This window comes from Homo sapiens, chromosome X, assembly GCF_000001405.40.
Source record: "Homo sapiens chromosome X, GRCh38.p14 Primary Assembly".
NCBI classification, from domain to species: Eukaryota; Metazoa; Chordata; class Mammalia; order Primates; family Hominidae; genus Homo; species Homo sapiens.
The window spans coordinates 34,556,368-34,575,615 of NC_000023.11; the positions used below are offsets into that span (position 1 = coordinate 34,556,368).

General features: G+C 37.2%; 4 annotated features.

Annotated features, from left to right (window-relative positions):
- Positions 1,279-1,860: an enhancer, noted in NCBI's record as "OCT4-NANOG hESC enhancer chrX:34575763-34576344 (GRCh37/hg19 assembly coordinates)". NCBI's record gives its function as "activates a minimal SCP1, AML or CMV promoter by ChIP-STARR-seq in naive H9 embryonic stem cells {active_cell/tissue: H9 hESC(naive)}" and the evidence as "EXISTENCE:reporter gene assay evidence [ECO:0000049][PMID:30033119]".
- Positions 2,891-3,418: an enhancer, noted in NCBI's record as "NANOG-H3K27ac hESC enhancer chrX:34577375-34577902 (GRCh37/hg19 assembly coordinates)". NCBI's record gives its function as "activates a minimal SCP1, AML or CMV promoter by ChIP-STARR-seq in primed H9 embryonic stem cells {active_cell/tissue: H9 hESC(primed)}" and the evidence as "EXISTENCE:reporter gene assay evidence [ECO:0000049][PMID:30033119]".
- Positions 3,419-3,944: an enhancer, noted in NCBI's record as "OCT4-NANOG-H3K27ac hESC enhancer chrX:34577903-34578428 (GRCh37/hg19 assembly coordinates)". NCBI's record gives its function as "activates a minimal SCP1, AML or CMV promoter by ChIP-STARR-seq in primed H9 embryonic stem cells {active_cell/tissue: H9 hESC(primed)}" and the evidence as "EXISTENCE:reporter gene assay evidence [ECO:0000049][PMID:30033119]".
- Positions 3,945-4,470: an enhancer, noted in NCBI's record as "OCT4-NANOG-H3K27ac hESC enhancer chrX:34578429-34578954 (GRCh37/hg19 assembly coordinates)". NCBI's record gives its function as "activates a minimal SCP1, AML or CMV promoter by ChIP-STARR-seq in primed H9 embryonic stem cells {active_cell/tissue: H9 hESC(primed)}" and the evidence as "EXISTENCE:reporter gene assay evidence [ECO:0000049][PMID:30033119]".

Consider the following 19,248-nt stretch of genomic DNA (forward strand, 5'->3'; position numbering starts at 1 on the left):
GAACAGAACGTTCCAGCATAAAGAGGTACCTTCTACTCAGTCCTTGTTCCCACCTTGCAAAACCCACTGCTCTACCATTTCCCAGTGGATTTCAAGACCAAATAAGTACATTTACAATGGTGAGGGTGACATCAATGACTAAAGTTTTTATCAATCTCTCAAAATTGAGAAGATGACCAAAAGCGGGGAATAGTTAAATCAAGTTTCGGCTAAAGCTGCCTCCTTACATATTTTAAGTTCTGCCTAAAGGTTTCTCTGTATATCGTGAACTATAACAAGTGGAGGTGTAAATAGACTGCAGCTTACACTTTTGCCAATCACCAAGTTTTGGCCAATCAAATGTAGCCAGCTGTTTGAACTGTGTTCAAATAAGGCAAACATCAACCTGTAACCAATCCAGTTGTTTCTGTACCTCGCTTCTGTTTTCTGCACATCGCTTTCCTTCTTCTGTCCATAAATCTTCTTCTACCATGTGGCTGCACTAGAGTCTCAGAGCCTACACTGGCTCAGGAAGCTGCCTGATATAAGAACCATTCATTGCTCAATTAAACTCCTTTGGATTTAATTTGGCAGAAGTTTTTCTTTTATTACTGCAGTTAATTTTTTGCTTCATGGCTGGGGCTGGTGTCTCTCGTCTGAAATGTTCAATGGTGGGGATGGGGACAGTGGGGATCCACTTCCAAGCTCATTTATCTATATGTCAGTAGGTCTCAGTTTCTCTCCAGGTAAAGCCCCTTTACAGAACTTCCCTCACAACATGGCAGCCAGCTTCCTCCCATGTGAGGAATGCAAGACAGAGTAACAGAGAGTGCTCAAGACAAAAACCACCATCTTTTTATAACCTAATCCCAGAAGTCACATTTCATCACTTCTGTCATATTCTTATTTGTTAGAAGTGAGTCAGTAACTTCAGCCCATTTTCAAGAGAAGAAGATTACAAAACAGTGTAAAAATCAGCAGGCAGGGATCACTGTAGGGCAATTTAGAGGCTGCCTACCAAACTAGCATACAAACACAAAGTACTGTCTTGCTTTCTTCTCCAGATTCACAGAAGTCCTTAATTTTTCTCCAAAACTGAATTTTCATTTTTGGGCAATTATGATGTATATCATTAGATATTATTTAGTTGTAACTGGGGAAAAAGTGCTAATACTATGTATTTTTTAACAAAACATAAAAAAGGCTGTTTTGAATTTCAGGAAGAGGTAGGGATGCTAAAAGTATTATAAAGATAGAGTATGTATATAGCTATCAACATAGATGTATAGATATTAAGATGGATAGTATATTACTGTATCATTTAAGGTGTTGGCAGGAAACAGATTGTACACTTAAAAGTGTTGACTAAAAGATACATTTTAAAAGGACCTATTTACAGAGATGTTGACAGAGCTCCACAATCTAACAAGGGACTAGTGACAGCAGAAAGCCATTATGGGCCCAGGGCCAGGAAAGACAAGAGGAGGAAAAGGTGGTACCTTAACTTGGAGAAAGCTGGAGCCTTGGAACACAGAGTGACCTTTCGTATGTATATGAAGCACAACTGGGGATCCTATTTAAATGGAGATTCTGATTGAAGCAAGCCAGGTATTCTGCATTTTTAGCAACTCCCAGGTGCTCCTGATGCTGCTGGTTCAAGGATCACACTTGAAATAGCAAGGGCCTAGTGACTCAACCACTGCAGAACCTCAAGGAAGCAGGGAAGAAACAGAAAGAATAAACCCATCAGTATCTCTTTCCTCCTCTCTTCCCACCTCCTAGAAGTGCCTCCCACTGTTTAAAATTAATCAAAAGCCGAAGGCAAAGACTGGATGATGTAGTCTATGAGAATGTTCCTGAGGCTCAGAGTGGAGCAAAAACAGCCATATTATACATAACGCCTTGTTTGTGTGGTTTCCTCACACACATACCTGTCAGTACTCAGCTAAATCAAGAAGGCTCCACTGTGGATCACCAGCATTCTCTCTGCTTAGCTCTCTCTTTACAGATAGCTTGTCCTATGAACTCTAGATGCTTTGGTTTCCCCAGACGTTCATCTCTGTCTTTTCAACATAAGGAGTCTGCTGGGTTAGAACTAGGTCCCTCTTTTCCACACGGTCTTTTCCATATTCCTTTTTTTTTTTTTTTTTGCTTCTTTCTGAGATTGTTCATTTTTGGGTATTTCCAATATATTTCTTGCCTTTTGGATATTTCAGAAAGGATGGTGCTGTAGTTTAGATGTTTATTCCCCCAAAGCTCATATTGAAATTTGATTCCAATGTTGGAGGTGGAGCCTAATGGGAGGTGTTTGAGTCATGAGGCAGATTCCTCATGAATAAATTAATGCCCTCCCTGGGGTGATTGGAAGGCTATGTAACTCTTATTAGTTCCTATGAGAGCTTTTTGTTAAAAAGAGTGTTGCACCTTCCCTCTGTTTTTCTCTTGCTTCTTTCCTTGCCATGTGATTTTGGCACATGCTGGCCCTCCATTGCCTTCTGCAATGAGTAGAAGCAGTCAGAGGCTCTCACCAGAAGTGGATGCAGGTGCCATGCTTCTTGTACAGCCTGCAGAACCATGAGCCAAATAAGTCTCTTTTGTTTATAAATTACCCAGCATCAGATATTCCCTTTTAGCACTGCAAATGGACTTGCACAAATGACAAATCCAGCCCCTGTTACTCCATCTCAGTCAGAAGCAGAGATTCCTTACATGGATTATCGTTAATAATTTATTATTTAACCAGGTGCACTCTTGGTTACAGAATCATTTTTGATTGAGTCTATAGATACTTCTCTTTTAAAGAGGATGGGGGGAGGGTAAAGGATTGTCTTTTGCAATTTGAAAGGCAAGATTATATTAGTATTCCAGCTTTATTTATTTAAAAACCACTAGTGGAGAAGTGTTGTAGAACTTTGCTCCTTAGTGTAGCTAAAACCTAGCTTCTTGTCACATGACCAGAAAAATTTAGGCACACAGACACATTGAAGTGTGAGTATAGCAGGACTTTATTTAGCAAAAAGGAAAAAATGAAAAAAAAAGAAGTCAGCAAAGTGAGATAGAGACCTGCTAACAGGCTCTCTACCTCATAGATTGATTCCCAGGTCACCACATAGACTGAAGAAAGCAGGCTCCTCCCCTGCATAGGGTGTGAATTCCCTGTGGCTCCACCCACTTCCCCCCACTTCTCCACCCACTTCCTCCACCCACATCCCCCATGTGCATGTTGGGCTCCAGTCCACTGTGGGCATGCCCAGACAAGCCCTGGCAAGCTTCCCTCATCTGCACAAAAACATCTAATGTAAATACTTGTGGGGCAGGTCAGAGATTCTCCAGGGACCCCTTATTATCTGCCTTGGCCTTTGACTGTCTCATTCGCCCCTCTAAAGAAGTACATCTATCTGCTGTTAGAGTAAAGATAAGGAGAAGGACAAAGATCAATCTTAACTGCTTCCTGATGACAGGGGGTACTGTTTTGGGAAAATGGCAGTCAGATCTTCTTCTGACTATCTAAGGGTCTAAGGCTCTAAGGCAGGGTCTAAGGGTCTAAGACAGCCTATCTAAGGGTCCCCGGCAAAAGGGGCCATCATCCGAGGCTCTGGTTGCATGACCATTTGGAGTTTGATGGCCTGAAGGTGAGAAGAGAAAAACTGGGTTATTAGAAAACATATATCAAAACAAATAAGGCGGGGGGCGGATTATGGACAGCTCAAGAAATCCCGAGTCCTTTTACTCGTTTGCACAGGGAGTGGGAGGCCAAAAGTCTGACTGGTATAAAAAGAAAAAAAAAAAACAAACTTTTACCCTGTTGCCAGCATGTCAGGATTCCGGGTTCCCTTCCCCTGAGCCCAATCCTAAACCAACCAGTCTAAGGTTTGGGAAATTAACTCTTCCCAGTTTGGAGGATGCACCTGAGAAGAGTGTCCCATAGCGCATAGTATAAAAACACAATTACCTAGCTGTGAAGAGAGGACAGAGGAGGAAAAAGGAAAAAAAAGAAGGCTTCTTTCTCAGAGGAGTCCCGCGGGGGTCAGTATGCATTTGAAAGGGGCACAGACTGAAGATGAATGGCTACTTATCTGGTTTCCTTCTCTTCTTAGCAAATACCCAGGGTACATGAGGGAGAGGAAAAGTTAGGCATTCCTCTTTCCTCCGTTCTTATATCCCTGAATTCTGGTGACTATGACAGGGTGCCACCCATGGATGTCAAAGCAGCTTTCAACCATGTTAACAGGGGGGCTTAGGGGATGGGACTATCTGCTCTTAACCACATATGCCTATCTCCCCTGCTGTCAATAGCCTTTGAATTCCCTGGAACTCATTTATGCCATGAATACTAACATGACCTTTATCCATGAAACAGGAAGCTTAGCTCAACTGGCAGGAATTAGTAATGCCTACCTGTGCTGTGCCTTTTAACTTTTGTTATCATCTTCCTCTGGATCCCTTAGATCCAGTTTTCTTTCTTAGGGCTTTGACCCAAAACTTGGAATTGAGTTTGGGACCAAAAATTTGTCTCGTGGGGGAGGGATGTTGCATGGGCTCCTTATCATAAGCCAAATGCTAAGGTGAAGCCGTGGAATTCAGTCCTTCTCCAAAAAGGGAGAGAAAAAGATGTCTTGTGACACTCCCATAAAACTGGCAGTTGTAGTTATGATCGCTAGGATTTGGGTGCATGGAGTTTGGCTTTGGTTAACTCCATTGGTCTTACTTTCCCAAAAAGAAGACCTCCGGGTGATGGGCACTCAATTTCTTCCCATCACCTGGCAGGATTTGCAGGACAATTGCTCAGAACTAGAACATTGATCCAGATTTTTAACAATACCCATCCCTCTTGTTCCTTCTGAGCTGCAGTTGGTGATCACTGGTTGGTTTACAGGAATGAGCAGTGTTAGTTTAAAATGTAGGCAAAAACTTAAAAACAACTAATGGGTCTAGAATTTAATGACAAATATACGATAGATTTTGAAACATAATTTTTCTCTCTCTAGTCCTCATTTATGTTAAAAACAAATCATTATAAGACTGTGTTGTTTGCAAAACAGACTTTAGTCTTGTACTTGGCCTAATTATTTGCATAAAATGCAGCAAGAATACTGATTTCTATATGCGTTTTATATATATATTTATTTATTTATTTATTTATTTTTATTTTATTTTATATTTTTTGAGACAGAGTCTCACTCTGTTGCCCAGGCTGGAGTGCAGTGGCATATTTGCAACCTCCACCTCCCGTGTTCAAGTGATTCTCCTGTCTCAGTCTCCCAAGTAGCTGGGATTACAGGTGTGTGCCACCATGCCCAGCTAATTTTTGTATTTTTAATAGAGACGAGGTTTTGCTATGTTGGCAAGGCTGGTCTCGAACTCCTCAATTACTTTTAAATTGTAATATCTCAATTTAAAAGTAATCTGTAATAATTATTTGACTATAGCATACTTGTCAAAAGAGGGCCAGAGATTTACCTCTGAGGTTTCTGACAGTCAATAAACAAAAAATGGACATCTATTTAGTTCCATAAATCACAGTATAAAAAGGATAACAAAAAACATACTCTACCATAATTAACCATAACCTATTTCTTCAAAATATTCTAGGTCTATCAACAATTGTATAGAAATATCTGATTTTTATATATGTGTTCTTGCGAGTAGGGAGAGGGAAAGAGATGTTGGGTATAGATTGTGTTACATAAATAATATATAACATTAATTAACCAAACTTGCTTAATCTTATTTCTTGTACATTTGATAAGCACATTCTAACACCACATCCTAATTCTATTGTAGGAAATAAAGCATTATAGCTATCCTGGGAGCAAACAGGAAATACACTCAACATTCCACAAAAATTTCTTTCCCCTTTTGAGAGTAATACCTTGAATCATGAGGTTTATGAATAGCTGTGTAAGGCTCCCTGCAATTTTCTCTGGTATTACAAACTGTGTTACACATTCATGAAACCTCACTTATCATTTGTAATTTAAATAGGAAAGTAAAGTGTTGTTGAATAATTAGCAATGTCTTGGCTTCTGTAGAATCACCTACCCACACAGGCAGAATAAATGGCTCAAAAATTGAAAGGTATAATTGAAATAGGCCGGCCTGGAGAATTTATAGAGCTATAAAAAAAAGTACGATCCTTGGGATAAATGTGAAGATTTGTGTGTGTTTGTCAGCATTAAAAACACAATCCTCAAAGCAATACTAACCTGATATCAAGAAAAATTGATATCAAAACTGTTTCTTGCTCATTCATTTTCTCCTCAGAATTAAGATGATAAATTTGTTTTAAACTAAGCCATTTAACTCGTTTTAGACAAGGTTTATAACAGTGAGGGGCCGGTTTCCCACTGGGAAATATGGCGGAATGGAATAGGAAGAAGCAGATGAAAACCAAGAAGATTTCTTCTGACGTTTTCCCCTTCCTTAAAATAATTTTGCTATTTTATGACCTTTTAGAGTAATGTTTCATTAATTTGTAATAAATTCATAAAGCAGGAAATCCTTCTCCCAAGTCTCTAAAATAAGATATAAAATAACAAGGATAGTGTTGATGAAAAGAGTCAAAGAAGAGATTTATTCTGAGCCAAATATGAGAGACCATGACCCATGACACAGCCCTCAGGAGGTCCTGAGAACATGTGCCCCAGGTGGTCAGGGTACAGCTTGGTTTTATATATTTTAAGGAGCCATGACACATCAATCAAATACATTTAAGAAATACATTGGTTTGGTTCAGAAAGGCAGGACAACTCAAAGCAGGGGCGGGGTGGGGGGGTGGTGCTTCTAGGCTATAGGTAAATTTAAACATCTTCTGGTTGATAATTGGTTGAGTTTATCTGAAGACCTAGGATCAATGGAAAGGAATGTTCAGTTTAAGATAAAGGATTTGGGAGACCAAGTTTTATTGTGCAGAGGAATCTCTCAGATAGCAGGCTTCAGAGAGAGGGCAGGTTGTAAAACGTTTCTTATAGGACCTAAAAGGGTGCCTGGCTCCTAGCTGATTATCTCCTGGATCTGGAAAGAAAGGAAGGAAAACAAAGGGGAAAGGTGATTCTCTATAAGATGTGGATTTTTCCCACAGGAGACTTTGCAGGGCAATTTCAAGGTATGAGAAGGAAATATATTTTGGGGTTAAATATTTTTTCCTTGTCTCATAATGTTATGACAGAGTCAGACTGAAAAGTAAGTCATGATATATAGGGTCAAATAAAATCCATCTGATGAGAATTTATGGTTTGTAGGGCATGACTCCCTAGACCCCTTAGGTAGGAATTTGGGTAAGATAAAAAATCAGAGCTTAGTCCTCAATAGTATTACTTATAATTTTAAAAAATAAATTAATTCACTATTTACAATTATTGTATTATAATTTTAATGATAATTGAAAGCAAGCGGGATCAGCTGCAGTTTCACAGTTAGTAAAAAGCCACTGCTTTTAATATAGTAACAATAATTATCAGTGCGAAAATTTTCCTTCTCCTTCCAAAAGAGTATTTTTATAAAGCCACTCAGAATAATTGCAATCATTGGGATGTTTTACCTTTGAGCACAATTTATGCCATACAAATGTAACTATAATAACAAAAGGCATTGTAGTACATTACTTCAGGGTAAATTTGAATGTCCTTCCTGTGGAATGACAAACTCCACCTCCAGCTGTGACTCATCTTTTTCTTCCATTGGCATTTAGTGTCATACCTTAACCAGGCTGAATGAGTCTGGTTTGTCATGTAATATAACCTCAAAAGTTTCTGTAAAAATTACAACTTAAGTAATATCTTCAGATTCATGGGTCCAATTTTAATAGAAATTAGAAGAGTACTTGGGTTAATTTTTATTTTTGTTCTCCTCTTTAATGAAATATATTATATTGTGCCATCAATTATAGCCAAAAAATATCTTTTTAAGAACGTAATGGATTTCAATAAGCCCTTTCCTTTGACCTCCTATTACAGTTCTTTTTTTTTTCTCTGAGAGAGCTTATGTGCTTCTTTTCTTTTGAAGACAACCCAAGATATTTCTAAGTTTTATTATCTACAATGGAGTTTTTTTCTTTAAAAGAGGATAATAAGTTTTCCTAAATGTATATAGGCTTATTTATTTATATGGATTTTTTTTTTCTTAATTCCTCACGTATAATCCCAAATAACTTTATTTGGAGTTTTGCACATGAATCAGATGGGGAATTCACCCTTACAAAGTCAGGAACAAAAATTTTTTAAACCTTATGCAGATGGCCAATACTCACCATGTCTTTTTAAAATAAGTATTGATGACCATAAGCACATAAACAAAAACTTTATTTCCAATAAATAATGTGACTGCCCTACAGTCTCCTATGAGAGACATTTAGATAATCCTAGGCAATTTATAGAATATAATAGCTGGGAAATATCTAGACATGTTATCTACTTAGAAGAAGTAAATGACAGATTCCTGCTCTGAGTACAGCAGATTATCTATTGCCTTTGAGAAATAAGTGTCAGAAAATACTGGAGGAACTCAATATTGATCGGAAAAAAGTGTGTTTTACCCTATTACTTACCTTTAAGTTTCCACTGGAAGTGTTTGCTACTTTATCACTACTGGCCTACTATCTGATTTTCCTTCCTCTAGTTTGTCACTGTATTTACATTACTATGCCTCCATAATTATCGCTAAAATGTCAATTTTATTTTTCTACTAAGATGATTAAAAGTCTTTTTTGCTTTCCCACCAGTCATTGACAGAAGTTGAAGTCCAAAGTTCTAAAACTAAATTTCTAATCATCTGGTAATCTAACTTCCAGGCTTTTTTCTCACTACTTGCCTGCAGTGGTGACCCATAGCTGCATCTATGCTAATGCTCTTCTAATACTTTTACTATTTCCTTATAAGAGTCATTATCTTTAAAATACTTGAACACTGCCTTTTATGTGTGATTTTTTTTTTTTTACTTTTCCACCCTATCTCATTCTTGTAATACTTGTAAGAACATGTGCTAAATATTTATTTACCATCTAATCCCATATTACTAGAAACGGCTTAGCATTAACAAATATGAGTGTCTAACATATTATCAAATTCCTAACTTTTATGTTGTCTTGATCTTTCATTTAAATTGTTAAATTGTTATTTATTTTCATCGTGCTGTTCTTCCATAGAAAAATTGCATCATTAGATTTCATGAGAGTAAGCAACAAAACTTTTCTGGTGTTTATTCCATTTAACCCAAATACAATGAAAAAGAAAGGCACAATTCATGTGCCGTGGATTTTATATTCCAGTGGGAGAGTGGATAAAGGTATATATAACTAATGACATAATTATTTTTAATTACAATTGTGATGAATGCTATAGCGAACAAAAATACAATATTAATATTCTTTCAATAAGTATGTTTTTACTGAATTGCTACTATGTACCAGGCATTGTTCTAAGAGAGATATTCAGATAATCCTAGGCAATTTCTAAGGGTTCTAAGCGCTGGAGACACAGCCATAAAATAAGACAAAAGTTTCATCCTCATGGAGCTATCATTCTAGGAAAAGAGACTTATAGTAATTAATTAGAAAATAAATAAATGATACCCTTTTAGCAAGTGACAGATAGTATAAAGAAAACTAATCACGGTGAAAAGAGAGACTGCTTGGCTAAGGGAATGTGGAGAGAGTTGACTATTTTTGATAAGGAATTCAGCAAAGGCCTCTCTCAGAAGGTAACGTTGGGGTAGAGACCCAAGTGATGAGGAGAGAGAACACACTTAGATTGGGGAAGAACATTCCAGGTGGAGGAAGCAGCAATATTTTACATAACAACATTTCCTTATGCATATTATGCACGTTTTCTTATGCATACTATGTGGGCAATAAGCAGCAACTGCTATGCAGATGTGCATTTCTTTAAGAGGATGACTCTACAGAATATTGTCAGGCAATGAGTGAAAACACTTACAAGCTCTTAAGAAATAGATTTCTGCAAATGAATGAAGGATCCTTGAAGAAAGCCCTAAAATATTGTATGCCCAGGTGAATCTGAAATATTAGAGCCAATTCTACTGCATGGTTGCATGCCAAAAATTTCATTTCATTCAACCAACCCAGCTCTGAAAACAGCATATGAAGGAGCTATGGTCAAGAAAAATAACTATTCTTATCTTGATTCAGCATCTTACAAATGACGGGATTTATTTTTTATTTTTATTTTTATTTTAGATTCAGGGTGAATGTGTGCAGGTTTGTTACGAGAGTATATTGTGTGATGCTGCACTAAGGGCTTCTATTGATCCCGTCATTCAGATAGTGAGTATAGTACCCAATAGGAAGTTTTTCAGCCATTGTTCCCCTCCATATTTCCCTCCTTTCTGCATCCCAGTGTTTATTGTTCCTGTCTTTATGTCCATGTGTATCTAACATATAAGTGTACCTCACTTATAAGTGAGAACATGCATTATTTGGTTTTCAGTTTCAGTATTAATTTGCTCAGGATAATAGCCTCCAGTCGCATCTATGTTTCTGCAAAGAATATGATTTGATTCTTTTATGGCTGCATAGTATTCCATGGTGTATATGTCCTACATTTTGTTTACCTAATCCACTGTTGGTGGGCACCTAGGTTATTTTCATGTCTTTGCTATTGTGAATATTGCTGCTATAAATATACAAGTTCATGTGTATTTTTCTTACAACAATTTATTTTCCTTTGAGTATATACCCAGTAAAGGGATCGCTGGTTCAAATGGTAGTTAGATTTTTAGTTGTTTGAGAAATCTCCAACTGCTTTCCATAGGGGCTAGACTAATTTACATTCCCACAGTGTATAGGCATTCCCTTTTCTCTGCAACCTTGACAACATCTGCTATTTTTTTGACTTTTTAATAAGAGCCATTCTGACTGGTGTGAGATGGTATCTCATTGTGGTTTTGATTTGTGTTTCTCTGATGATTAGTGATGCTGAGCATCTTTTCCTATGCTTGTTGACTACTTGTATGTCTTCTTTAGAGAAGTGTCTGTTCATGTATTTTATCAACTTTTGAATGAGGTTATTTGTTTTTTGCTTATTGATTTGTTTAACTCCTTGTAGGTTCTTGGTATTGTCCTTTATTGGAAGCGTAGTTTGCAAATATTTTCTCCCATCCAGTAGGGTGTTTGTTTACTCTGTTGATAGTTTCTTTTGCTATGTAGAGGCTCTTTAGTTGTCTAACTAGGTCCCATTTGTATATTTTTGTTTTTGTTGCAATTGCTTTTGGGGACTTAGTCATAAATTGTTTCCCAAGGTCAATGTTTAGAATGATGTTTCCTAGGTTTTCTTCTAGTATTCATATAGTTTGAAGTCTTACATTTAAATATTAAATCCATTTTGAGTTAATTTTTATAATGGTGAAAAGTAGGGGTACAGTTTTACTTTTCTGCCTATGGCTAGCCAGATATCCCAGCATAATTTAGTAAATAGATAGTCCTTTCCCTATTGCTTATTTTTGTCAACTTTGTTAAAGACCAAATGACTGTAGGTGTGCAGCTTAATTCTTATGTTCCCTATCCTGTTCCACTGGTCTATGTGTCTATTTTTGTACCAGTGCCAAGCTGTTTTAGTTACTGCAGCCTTGTAGTATAGCTTGATGTTGGATAGTGTGATGAACAGAAATGCAAAATCCTCAAGAAAATACTAGTAAACTGAATTCAATAGCAAACTAAAGATATCACACATAATGATCAAATAGGATGCAAGAATTGTTTGACATGCAAATCAATAAATGTGATACATCCCATCAATGGAATGAAGGGTAAAAATCATAAGTGTTTAACAAACTTTTGCCTCCTTTCATAATTAAAAACAACTCAACAAATTAGGTATAGAAAGAATATACCCAAACATAAAATGGCCATATATGACAAGACTGCAGATAACATCACATGTAATGGATAAAAGCTGAAAGCATTTTCTGTAAGATCGGAACAAGACAAGAATGCCCATTATTGCCACTCCTGTTCAACATATGCATCAAAAATTGTTATTAGTAATAAGTGAATTCAGAAAAGTTGCCATATAAAAAAGCAACATGCAAAAATCAGTTGTGTCTCTACACACTAACAATGAAGTATCCAAAAAGGAAATTAAGAAAGCAATTGTATGTATAATGGCATTAAAAATAATAAAATACTTAGGTATAAATTTAACCAAGGAGGTGAAAGATCTGTGCAATAAAATCTATAAAATATTGATGAATGAAATTAAAGAAGACACAAGTCAATGGTAACTATCTTAAGTTCCTGGATTGGAAGAATTGATATTGTTAAAATGTCCATACTATCCAAAGAAGTCTACAGATTCAATGGAAACCCTGTCAAATTTTGAATTGCATTTTTCAGAAAAATAAGAAAAAAATCCTAAAATTTGTATGGAATGATGAAAGGCCCTGCAAAGCCAAAGCAATGTGGAGCAAGAACAAAGCAGGTGGCATCACACTACCTGATTTCAAAATATACTATAAGGCTACAGTAATCAAAACAGTGTGGTACTGATATAATATCAGAGATATGTACCAATGGAACAGAATAAAGACTTGAGAAATAAATCCACACATTTTTTTTTATGGCGTATTAGTCTGTTTTCGTGCTGCTGATAAAGACATACCTGAGACTGGACAATTTACAAAAGAAAGAGGTTTAATTGGACTTACAGTACCACATGGCTGGGGAGGCCTCACAATCATGGTGGAAGGCAAGGAGGAGCAAGTCACATCTTACATGGATGGCAGCAGGCAAAAAAAGTGCTTGTGCAGGGCAACTTCGGTTTTTTAAAATGATCAGATCTCATGAGGCCCATTCATCATTATCATGAGAACAGCACAGAATAGACCTGCCCCCATAATTCAGTCATCTCCCACTGGGTCCCTCCCATAACATGTGGGAATTATGGGAGCTACAAGATGAGAATTGGGTGGTGACACAGAGCCAAACAAAATCATTCCGCCCCTGGCCCCTTCAAAATCTCACATCTGTCAGGCCTCTGAGCCCAAGCTAAGCCATCGCATCTCCTGTGACCTGCATATATACGCCCGGATGGCCTGAAGTAACTGAAGAATCACAAAAGAAGTGAAAATGGCCTGTTCCTGCCTTAACTGATGACATTCCACCACAAAAGTGAAAATGGCCAGTCCTTGCCTTAACTGATGACATTACCTTGTGAAATTCCTTTTCCTGGCTCATCTTGGCTCAAAAAGCTCCCCCACTGAGCACCTCGTGACCCCCACTCCTGCCTGCCAGAGAACAACCCCCCTTTGGCTGTGATTTTCCTTTACCTACCCAAATCTTATAAAACGGCTCCACCCCATCACCCTTCGCTGACTCTCTTTTCGGACTCAACCCGCCTGCACCCAGGTGAAATAAACAGCCTTGTTGCTCACACAAAGCTTGTTTGGTGGTCTCTTCACACGGACATGAGTGAAAATGTCCTCACATTTGAAAACCAATCATGCCTTCCCAACAGTCCCCCAAAGTCTTAACTCATTTCAAGCATTAACTCAAAAGTCCACAGTCCAAAGTCTCATCTGAGACAATGGAAGCCCCTTCCACCTATGAGCCTGTAAAATCAAAAGCAAGTTAGTTACTTCCAAGATACAATGGGAGTACAGGCATTGGGTAAATACAGCCATTCCAAATGGGAAAAATTGGCCAAAACAAAGGGGCTACAGGCCCAATGCAAGTCTGAAACCCAGCAGGGCGGTCAAGTCTTAAAGCTCCAAGATGCTCTCCTTTGACTCCATGTTGCACATCCAGGTCACACTGATTCAAGAGGTGGGTTCCCATAGTCTTGAGCAGCTTTGCCCCTGTGGTTTTGCAGGGTACAGCTTCCCTCCCAGCTACCTTCACGGGCTGGCATTGAGTGTCTGTGGCTTTTCCAGGCACACAGTGCAAACTGTCAGTGGACGTACCATTCTGGGGTCTGGAGGATGGTGGCCCTGTTCTCACAGCTCCACTAGGTGGTGCCCCAGTAGGGACTCTGTGTGGGGACTCCCACCCCACATTTCCCTTCTGCACTGCCCTAGCAGAGGTTCTCCATGAGGACCTCACCCCTACAGCAAACTTCTGCATGGGCATCCAGGTGGTTCCATACACATACATCTTTTGAAATCTAGGCACAGGTTCCCAAACCTCCATTCCTGACTTCTGTGCACTCACAGGCTCTACACCACATGGAAGCTACCATGGCTTGAGGCTTCTACCCTCTGAAGCCATGGCTCAAGCTCTACATTGGCTCCTTTCAGCCATGGCTGGAGTGGCTGGGATGCAGGGCACCAAGTCCCTAGGCTGCACACAGCACAGGGACCTAGGACCTGGTGCAGAAAACCATGTTTTCCTCCTATGCCTCCTGGCCTGTGATGCGAGGGGCTGCCGTGAAGAACTCAGCCATGCCCTGGAGATATTTCCCCCATGGTCTTGAGGAATGACATTGGGCTCCTCATTGCTTATGCAAATTTCTGCAGCTGGCTTGAATTTATCCTCAGAAAATGGGATTTTCTTTTCTATCACATTGTCAGGCTGCAAATTTTCTGAATTTTTATGCTCTGCTTCCCTTATAAAACTGAATGTCTTTAACAGCATCCAAGTCACCTCTTGAATCCTTTGCTCCTTAGAAATTTTTTCCACCAGATACCCTAAATTATCTCTCTCAAGTTCAAAGTTCCACAAATCTCTAGGGCAGGGGCAAAATGCTGCCCATCTTTTTGCTAAAACATAACAAGTTACCTTTGCTCCAGTTCCAAACAAGCTCCTCATCTCCACCTGAGACCACCTCAGCCTGGACCTTATTGTTCATATCACTATCAGCATTTTTGTCAAAGCCATTCAACAAGTCTTTAGGAAGTTCCAAACTTTCCCACATTTTCCTGTCTTCTGAGCCCTCCAAATTGTTTCAAACTCTGCCTGTTACCCAGTTCCAAAGTCACTTCCACACTTTCAGGTAACTTTTCAGAATGCCCCACTCTACTGTTACCAATTTACTGTATTAGTCTGTCTTCATGCTGCTGATAAAGACATACCTAAGATTGGACAATTTACAAAAGAAAGAGGTTTAATTGGACTTACAGTTCCACGTGGCTGGGGATGCCTCACAATGGTTGTGTAAGGGAAGGAGGAGCAAGTCACATCTTATATGGATCGTGGCCAATGTTGAGAAGATTATTTCCTAGGCTGTCTTCCAGGAATTTTACAGTTTGAAGTCTCACAAACTATTAAATATTCAATGCATTTTGAGTTAATTTTTTTATATAGTGAAATGTAGGGGTCCCAGCTTCAATCTTCTGCATATGGCTAGCCAGTTATCCCAGGACCATTTATTGAATAGGGAGTCCTTCACCCATCGCTTGTTTTGTCAGGCTTGTCAGATCAGATGGTTGTAGGTGTATGGCTTTATTTCTGAGTTTTCTATTCTGTTCCATTGGTCTATGTGGTTTTGCATACCAGTACCAAGCTGTTTTGGTTACTGTGGCTTTATATTATAGTTAGAAGTCAAGTAGTGTGATGCCACCAGCTTTGTTCTTTTTGCTTGGGATTGCTTTGGCTATTCAGGCTCTTTTCTGCTTCCATTTGAATTTTAGAATCTTTTTTTCTACTTCTGAGAAAAATGGCATTGGTTATTTGATAGAAATAGCATTGAATCTATAAATTGCTTTGGGAAATATGGCCATTTTAACAATATTGATTCTTCCTATCCATGAGCACGAAATGTTTCTCCATTTCTTGTGTCATTTCTGATTTCTTACAGCAGTGTTTTTTTATTTCTCCTTGAGATCTTTGCAGCAACATGTATGTAGTTGGAGGCCATAATCCTAAACAAATTAACATAGGAACAGAAAGCCAAATACCACATGTTTTCACTTATAAATGGGAGTTAAGCATTGAGTTAAGTGTTGTTACGATGAGTAACATGGACATAAATATGGAAACAATAGATACTGTGGACTACTAGAGGATGGAAGGTGTGTGGTGGATTGAAAAGCTATGCCTAATGCCAGAGTGATGGGATTTATACTCCAAACCTCAGCATTATGCAATATTTTCATGTAACAAATCTGTGCATTTACCCCCATATCTAAAATAAAAGTTGAAATAAAAAAAAAACTCTGCAAAATGCTTTGTACTCATATGTGCTCCAATTGTATTGCAGAAACTTCAAAGCTATCTTACTCAATTTAGTTTGTCTTTTAAAATATACCTGTTTTCAATCCATGGATAATGATTCAGATGTATTTTAAGCATATAAATTATTTTTAATTTAGATCTACTTTCATTGAGATAAAAATGTTGGCAGTTTATAAGTAAATTATTTCAATCTGCCAGGCGCATTGAAATTTTATCATAAAGTAGAGATGTTTGCCTCCTTTGCTGCAATTTTTTAGGAGATTTTTAGAAAGACAGAGTATAAGTATTAAACATAAGTTATGTCTGAAAAAAAAAAAAAACCTATTCAATTCCTCTAGGCCCAGAGACTATTGCAGAAGAGGTGGGCTCATGAGATTGTAAGCACCAATTTTGAGGAATAAAAATATAATTCTCTGACTTAAAGGAATCATTCAATGTATATATTATTATTTTATTTTATATATTATTGTTGCCATTCCAAATCCTTTGTGAAATAAAGCAGAATACACAAAAATAAAACATGATAGTTAATGATAATAATTAACATATATTGAATATTTATTATGGTTCTATGGACAGGGTATATGCCTAAGTTTTTCTAAGATTTGACTCAGAAATCCATGGAATTGTGTCCATTCGTTATCCCTGTTTTATAGATAAGGAAACTGATACTTCTAATTTGCTTCAAATCACATATTTGCTAAATTGCAGAACCAGAATTTGCATCAAGAGCTGTCTGACTCCACAACTGAATATTTAACTACTAAAATATAGTCTGAAGATATTAAAAAAGACACAACTTACAAATTGTCTATTTTTAATACTATTTAAAGTCTATGCCTACAACAAATTTTATAAGATACATACTTTTATTAATATTTGTATTGCTCATTAAAAATTAATATAATATTTCCTCTAAAAATGAAAAAAAGGTATTTTCTTCTCCCTTTTTTTTTGAGATGGAGTTTTGCTCTTGTCGCCCAGGCTGGAGTGCAATGGTGCGATCTCGGGTCACCACAACCTCCGCCTCCCAGGTTCAAGAGATTCTCCTGCCTCAGCCTCCCGAGTAGCTGGGATTACAGGCATGTGCCACCAAGCCCGCCTAATTTTTTGTATTTTTAGTAGAGATGAGGTTTCTCCATGTTGGTCAGGCTGGTCTCGAAATCCCGACCTCAGGTGATCCGCCAGCCTTGGCCTCCCAAAGTGCTGGGATTACAGGCGTGAGCCACTGTGCCGGCAGGTATTTTCTTTCAGATGCAAATCGAAGCAGTTCAGTGATAGTCTGTTCCTCTGTGCTCACATCCTAGACATTCTTCAAATCCAAGTGTGAGCGACGATTCTCCTGGAAACTTTTCCTTAAATGTCAACCTTTAATGATTTTCCTCTTTTACAAAGTAATAAACTTAGAGTTGTGCCATACAGATTTATATTTAACTGTTCTCTGATAAAATTATTTTTATTCAGTGTATATCCCCAAATAAGAACTAAGCTTCTTAAAAGCAAAATCAATGTCTTCTGTTTATTTTGAACTATGTACAATGCTTAGAAGAATTTTGAATCCAATAAATAGCTGTTGATCAGATTGCTTGATATTATAAGTTATTCAGATGAGTGATAAAAATTGATGGCTCTTGAAGACAAAATTTAATGAACTACCTAAACATTGCATTATACTTTCACATAACACTTTCCCAGATATTCCTAGAGTAATTTTGGTGATATTTTAGTTTTGTTAAAAATATTATTTTGAATTAAGAAGCTTTCTCAATGCACAAAGAATATTTTAGAGCCTTTCATCATAAATTGGAAATTCATGAACTTCTGATATTCATGATCCAGATTTAGTCATTCTACTTGCCAAATGAAGTAATTTTCACAATAGCAGGTAAAAGCTATTTTGGCTGGAACCAAATGAAAAAATATTGATTTGAAGATTTTTAAAGAAAATTTTCAAAGTAGTGTGTGAACAGTATTGGAAACTGACAAGAGCCATTTTTCGAGCTTATACTAAAGAACAAGTACCATTTCCTAGATCACAGTGAGGTGCTAAATAAAAGTTGTATGCATTGTATATCATTTTCATTTTGAAATAAGTTAAATGAATAAAATTAGTGTAAAATATCAAACCTGATTTTTAATATTATAATTAAAACTTTAAATACAAAGGAATGACTTGAGACAAAATTAAAGCCTCATGTTTAATAACCATTTTTGATGCCTTTATTCTATCTGAAGTATAGGTGTCAAGAAGCATATGATATTTCATGGTCAAGTCTTTAAGCAGGTTTCACTTAACCAAGCAATGAGAAATGACAGACCTCACAGAACTCGATAGTCAAATTATCTTTTGAAAATTCCCAGTGTCCGCCTCCAATTATTATGTGCAGAAAATCATACTGAAGTTATTGGCAAGTGACTGAAATATCAGTTATCCTAAATAAAATAAAATAAATACTGCTTATGTATTTAATACTAAAGTCTTAGATAAATATTATGAGGCTCTACTTTCCATTTATTATCAAATTAGGCATTTTAATATGAAAATATTTGAAACATATTAAGTGGGACATTATAGTTCTTTAAAAATCACCAATGGGAAAATCATAACTAATATCCTATTTCAAATAAAATAAGCTGAGAAATAATTTTTTAGAATTACAGAACAGAATCAAATGTGCAAAATTCATATGTTCTAACTTTAAATTTGAAAACATCTAATCTTTCTTAAGTGATTTACAATGGCTTATGTAACATCTGAATATTTATTAAGTGTTTGACTGAATACCTTTAACGTTGTTTTTTCCTATCTCGAAGGCATTTTGTTTTTCCTTGTTTGCTAGGGAACAGTTCCTTTGGAAAATTGCAGGCAACATTTCCTTTGGTTACATTGAAAATCTACATGGTCATTCATTAGATGGAAGCCAACTGATTACATATGAATTTGTCCTGCCAAGATGTAGAGTTAATCATTTTTTTGGAGACGAATGAGGAACCTAAGCATTCTGTAGCTGATGGGGATGTCAGGGTTTTTGTAAATAGTATGCTATACTCATTTATCTTTCTTATTCTTTCAAAAGAATGGAACACAATAAAAGTCTGACTCTACAGCAAAGAAAGTCACAGAACCTATATAAGTCTGGTGCAGGAGA